This window comes from Homo sapiens, chromosome 2 (genome assembly GCF_000001405.40).
Source record: "Homo sapiens chromosome 2, GRCh38.p14 Primary Assembly".
Taxonomy (NCBI): Eukaryota; Metazoa; Chordata; class Mammalia; order Primates; family Hominidae; genus Homo; species Homo sapiens.
Window position 1 is genome coordinate 230,017,371 of NC_000002.12, and position 6,908 is coordinate 230,024,278.

Below are 6,908 nucleotides of genomic sequence, written 5' to 3' on the forward strand. Positions count from 1 at the left end.
CACATAGGATCAATTAATTCTCAACAAGGGCACCAAGAGGACAAAATGGGGATAGGATAATGTCTTCAATAAATGGTGCTGGGAAAACTAGATTGCCACTGCAAAAGAATGAAATTTGACCCTTACCTTACACCATACATAAAACTCAACTCAAAATGGATAAAAGACCTAAATGTAAGACCTGAAACCATAAAACTTCTAGGCGAAAACTCCTCCTCCTGGGCTCAGTCCTTGACATAGGCCTTGGCAATGATTTTTTGGATATCATACCAAAAAACCAGGCTACGAAAGCAAAAATAAATAAATGGGATGATACCAAACTAAAAAACCTTTGCAGAGCAAAGGAAACAATCAACAAAATGAAAAGGCAGCTTACAGACTAGAAAACAATATTTGCAAACCACATATCTGATAAGGAGTTAATATCCAAAATGTATAAAGAACTCTTACAACTCAATAACAAAAAAACAAATAACCCTATTAATAAATGGGCAAAAGATCTAAACAGACATTTCTCCAAAGAAGACATAAAAATGCCCAACAGTGGCCGGGCATGGTGGCTTATGCCTATAATCCCAGCACTTTGGGAGACCAAGGCAGGAGGATCATGTAAGCCCAGGAGTTTGAGACCAGCCTCGGCAATATGGCAAGACCCTGTCTCAACTTTAAATTTTTTTTAAAAAATGGCCAGCAGGTATATAAAAAGGTGATCAACATCACTAATCAGCAGAGAAATGCAAATTAAAACCAGGTCGAGATACCACCTCACACCCATAAAGGTGGCTCTTGTCGAAAAAACAAGTGATAAATAACAAATGTTGGCAGGGGTACGGAGAAAAGGAAACCCTAGTACACTGTTGGTGAGAATGTAGATTGGTACAGCTATTATGGAAAACAGTATGGAGGTTCCTAAAGAAATTTAAAATAGAGCTACCATGTGACCAGCAGTCCGTCTTCTGGGTGTATATCCAAAGGAGATGAATCACTGCCTCGTAATGATGTCTGCAATCCCATGTTCATTGCAACATTACTCACAATAAGCAATGTGGAAACAACCTAAATATCCACTGATGGACAAATGGATAAAGTAAATGTGGTAGATGTATACAATGGAATATTATTTGGCCTTAGAAAAGAAAGAGATCCTAGCATTTGCAACAACACAGATGGACCTGGAGGTTATTATACTAAGTGAAATAAGCCAGAAACGAAGAGAAAAACATGGTCTGATCTTACTTATATGTGAAATATATATCGTTTTTAATTATATATATAAATATATATTCACATATATCTGTGTGTGTTTATGTGTGTGTGTGTATATATGTGTGTGTGTGTATATATGTGTGTGTGTGTGTATGTGTGTGTGTGTATATATATATATATAATTTTTTTTTGAGACAAAGTCTCGCTCTGTCACCCAGGCTGGAGTGCAGTGGCACAATCTCGGTTTACTGCAACCTTTGCCTGCCAAGCTCAAGTCATCCTCCCACCTCAGCCTCCTGTCCTGAGTAGTTGAGACTAGGGCGCCACCATGCTCAGTTAACTTTTTAGTTTTTTGTAGAGATAGGGTCTCATTACATTGCCCAGGCTGGTCTCAAACTCCTGGGCTCAAGTGATCCTCCCACCTCAGCCTCTTAAAGTGCTAGGATTATAGGCATGAGCCACGATGCCTAGCCCTGGAATATATATAAATATAAGAGCACTCATATATACTGAGATAGAGAATGAAACAGTGGTTACCACAGGCAAAGGCTAGGGAGAGAGGAAATGAGGAAATACAGTTCAAAGCATATAAAATAGGAAATATATAGGATAAAAAGTTTAGAGATCTGATGTACAACATGAGGACTAATGTTAATAAAATTGCATTGTATTGGGGATTTTTGTTAAATAAGTAGATTTTAGCTGCACTTGCACTAATAAAAAGGAATTATGTGAGATGATATTGTTAATCAGTTTCACCATAGTAACGTTTTTACTGTCTATATATATCCCATAACATCATGCTATACTGTCAGATACACACAATAAAATTTATATTTTAAAAAACCAAAAACATCAAGTGAACAAAGTGCCACCACATTGAAGAAAAATGGCACCTGCAGTTAAAACCCTAACAATATACATTGTCATTTTACAAAATAAAATTAATAGCTTCACTTCTACTTCATTTTAAAATAAGATCATCTGCACTCTGAGGCAGCATTCGTCTGCCCTTGCAACGTGTAACTGTCAGAGTGGGGCACTACAGAGGACTACCTGCATTATATTCCCTCAAAAACGGTTTTCCACTCAGGAAAGTTATTTTCAATTGGGAAATATGTTCTGCCCATTCAAAAAGTCTTACAGCCACTGATCCATGGCCACAGACTGCACTGGAATAACCTCAGAAATAATAATATTAGCAGCTTCTATCTATTGTCTACTATGTGCCAAGAAATAAACAGATAGTAAACAACTGAATTCTTAACAGCAATCCTTAAAAGTAAGTGATATTATTTCTGTCATTTCTCTCAGGGGTCTACAAATTATGGCGTGGACCTAATCTGACCAGCCTCCTGATTTATAAATAAAGCTTTATTGGAACAGTATTTATGTGTTATCTGTGGTCGCTTCCATACTACAATGGCAGCATTAGGTAGTAGTCGTGACACAGACTGCATTGCCTGCAAAATCTAATTATTCTGAGAGGACAAGTTAATTTTTTCAAAGTTTCATAAAACTGAGACAAATCTCTACCTACTAAGTCTGTGTTCTTAACCACAAATGCCACAGCACCTCTCCTTTCAGAGCCAAAACTACATCTCACCAATAGAACTTGAAAAGGTGATGGGATTTGTGCAGGTCACATTTGAAATTATAAGGAGAGGGCCTTGAGCATAATATGAGACCATTCAAGACTGGTTGCCCAGAGAATATGCCAAGCTTTTGATGAACAAAATTATTGCCTATTTTTAATAAAGTATCTTTTTGTTGTTGTTGTTTTTGAGACAGGGTCTCACTCTATCGCCCAGGCTGAAGTGCTGTGGCACAAACACAGCTCACTGCAGCCTCAACCTCAAGAGATCCTCTCACCTCAGCCTCCAGAGAAGCTGGGACCACAGGCACACATCACTACACCCAAATAATTTTTGCATTTTGTGTAGAGATGAGGTCTTGCCATGTTGCCCAGGCTGGTCTCAAACTCCTGGGCTCAAGTGATCCTCCCACCTCAGCCTGCCAAATTGTTGGGATTACAGGCATGAGCTACAGCACCTAGCCTAAAGTGTCTTAAGGCATTTAAATAATGAGCAAGGGGTAAATTCTTCGAGCCCCTCATACACTCTTATGGAAAGCTACCAGGATGAGTAAAGGGGGTGAGTAAATACAGCTTACTGGTTCTTTCCCAAACTCAGTGCTCTCTTCCTACCACTTTCCTCTACTTGACCACTTGGAAATCTGCCTCTGTCAAGAAACCCTTACCTCCTTCTATTTCACCTGGCAATTCAAGAGGAGGTGGGATTGGCTCTCACCTTGCTCTCCAGTGCTAATTGGAGACCCTCAACCCAACTCTCTCCTCACAGTCCAACTGTAGCACCTTTCCTGCATTGCAGTGGTCTCCGCTCTCCACCATGGCTCAATTCCCTTTTCATAGATGACAACTGCTTCCCCGCTCCAGTCTTTGCAATTCAACATCAGCATTCCCTCCCCAACTCACTGTTCTCTGAATATTTTGACGCTGGAGACCTCCCCCCATCCACACATACCACACTCCAGCCTGGCCAACCTGGAATGCTTATCCTTCCACGGCCTTCACATCTGAGCTTTCTGGTGTGGAGCCATTGCTTCTGGAGGGAAGCCTCCTTACCTTCTTGAGGAGTTGCCTCATTTCCAAAACTCACTTCTTCTAAGCTTCCATGAATCTGTACATGTGACCGGTTTGCTCTCTGCCCTAACCTGCGTCCCTTACTGCCTGTTCATCCAGCAGCCCCTCCCTGACTGTACTTGACTACCTGCCCTCTCTGAATTCCAGGATTAGTGAAACGCTCAACGCGTGAAACGCTCTTGCCCTGTAACCTGCAGGATGTCCACCCGACGGGCGATTTATGTCCTCTTCCCTATGGTCAGACGGCAGAGCATCACTGGGGCACACCAGATGTGCTGCCTTGGCCCCCGACCGACCTAGCCTGGCTTCCTTTGGCTTCCACGCATTGCCTTAACAGGCCTTGTATTATCTATTTCCTGGGCTTCTCACAGTGGATCTTCAAGTCTTATCTCCCACTTCGCAGAGATTAATCTTTTCAGTGTGAACGTCACAGCTTCTCTTCTCTCCTGCATGAAACCTCCCTGTCCTGGGCCCACCTTGTCTTTCTTCTACCTTCAGAGGGAGGAGTTGACTTATTTACAGTGCTCACCTATCCATTGTTAGGGATTCTGGTCTTTCTCATCTCCTTGTTCTCTATATCTTCCATCTCTCCTCTTCACAGATTCTCTTTCCTTCTCTTTTTTGAATACTTATGTAAATAGAGACAGGGTCTTGCTATGTTGCCCAGGCTGGTCTCAAACTCTGGTTTCAACTGATCCTCCTGCCTTGGCCTCCCACACTGGGATTACAGGAATGAGCTACCGCACCTGGCACCCTTTTCTTTTCTTAAGAACATAGGAATCCGACAGGCTGTAATCCCAGCACATTGGGAGGCCGAGGTGGGTGGATCCCTTCAGCCCAGGAGTTTGAGATGAGCCTGAAAAATATAGTGAAAAGTGAGACCTTGTTTCTACAAAAAAAAGAATATAGGTCTCTCCTTGAAAGAAGCTTCATTCTAATGACCTTCTCAGTGCCCTGTTATTTCTCTCCTTCTGAGCCACCAAACAGCTATAACAATTACTCTCCCCTCGCTGCTTCCCCTTGTTCTCTACTATTCCCGCAATTCCTTAGCCTCTCTTGGTCATCTTCTAAAGCTACTCTCTTAGCTACTACTGAGAGTTTCTAATCTAGTATCCCTTTCTCAGCTCCCGTTGTTAATTCATTTAAAAATACTGTTTTAGGCAGGGTGCAGTGGCTCATGCCTGTAATCCCAGCACTTTGGGAAGCTGAGGTGAGTGGATCATCTGAGGTCAAGAATTCGAGACCAGCCTGACCAATCTGGTGAAACCCTGTCTCTACTAAAAATACAAAAATTAGCCGGGCCTGGTGGCGTGCACCTGTAGTCCCAGCTGCTCCTGACTTCAAGTGATCCGCCCGCCTCGGCCTCCCAAAGTGCTGGGATTACAGGCATCAGCCACTGCACCTGGCTTAGCTCTACTCTTTTTTTATATTGAACTCCTTGATCTTTTCAGCTTTCAGATGTATACATGTGTATGTGTATTAGTTATACGTTGTGCCCACATATATGTATATGTCTATACTTGTGTTTGGATATTGTCTACACGGTACCAAGTTAACATAACAATAAACGAGTAATCAAAAATCAAATAAATAAGCTCAAATATTTTTCAAGTTCACTTGACTTGAGTGAATCTTTTGGTAAATATGAGTAGTTTAATATTGTTGGTTTAATAAAAACAAATATCTTCTGACTTATCAGCAAAATATGCATGTATTTAATGTTCAGGTGATTGCTTTATGATACTTAGATAACATATGATAATATTAATAGCAAAATGGTTAATAGGAAATTTAAGTTGAGAAGATGGCTAGAGGCTGAAACAGGAGAATTGCTTGAACCGGGAGGCGGAGGTTGCAGTGAGCTGAGACTGCGCCATTGCACTCCAGCCTGGGCGACAGAGCGAGATGCTGTCTCGAAAATAAATAAAAACTAATAAATAAATAAATAAAAATACTGTTTATGTATTAGTTACTCTGTGCCAGGCACTGAGCTAAGCCCTGGAGACACTTGCATAACTAGAACACGGCCCTGCCCACAAGCAAGTTCAGTCAGTAAATGTTCCCCATTTTTCCTAACATCCAAGGTTCTTCGCTAGCCAGCTTTACTTCCTACCTCTCTACTCTTTTTCTTCCACCTTTGAAGGATTCTTCTCCTGTTTCCACCTCTGAAAGTCCTGCAGCTGTTCCTTTACTGACCAGCAGAGTAGGTCCTAAAGGGCTGCTGGTGAATCCAAGGCCATCCAAGGAATGCTGCCCTGGAGAGAGCTCAGTGACTCTTCCTCCTTTCACGCACCCTTGGGAAATGGGGCACACTTCCAGAGGACTTTCTCCAGGTGGTGTTTCAGTGTCTGCCTTGTGCCTGGAGGCACTGCGCTCCACGCTTGGGAATGCCATGGAAGCAGACAGACCTAGTCCTGTTCTCATGGGGCTTCCTTGGTTGGGGGTAGTAGGGGAGGGGCTAAAAGGAGTAGGAAGGTGACACCTCTTCCTTGGAGATTCTGATATGCTCCTCTGAGTAGAGTTTATTCTCAGCACCATCCTGTTCTTTTTTTTTTTTTTTTTTTTTTTTTTTTTTGAGATGGAGTCTCATTCTGTCACCCAGGCTAGAGTACAGTGGTGCGATCTTGGCTCACTGAAACCTCTGCCACCCGGGTTCAAGCAATTCTCCCGCCTCAGCCTCCCCAGTAGCTGGGACTACAGGCGTCCGCCACTGCGCCTGGCTAATTTTTGTAGTTTTAGTAAAGATGGGGTTTCATCATCTTGGCCAGGCTGGTCTTGAACTCCTTACCTCATGATCCACCCGCCTCAGCCTCCCAAAGTGCTGGGATTACAGGCGTGAGAGCCACCATACCCGGCCTTTTTTTTTGAGACAGTCTTACTCTGTGGCCCAGGCTGAAATGTGGTGGTTCGATTTCAGCTCTCTGCAACCTCCGCCTCCCGGGTTCAAGCAATTCTCCTCCCTCAGCCTCCTGGGTAGCTGGGATTACAGGCATGTGCCACCACTCCCAGCTAATTTTTGTATTTTTAGTAGAGACAGGGT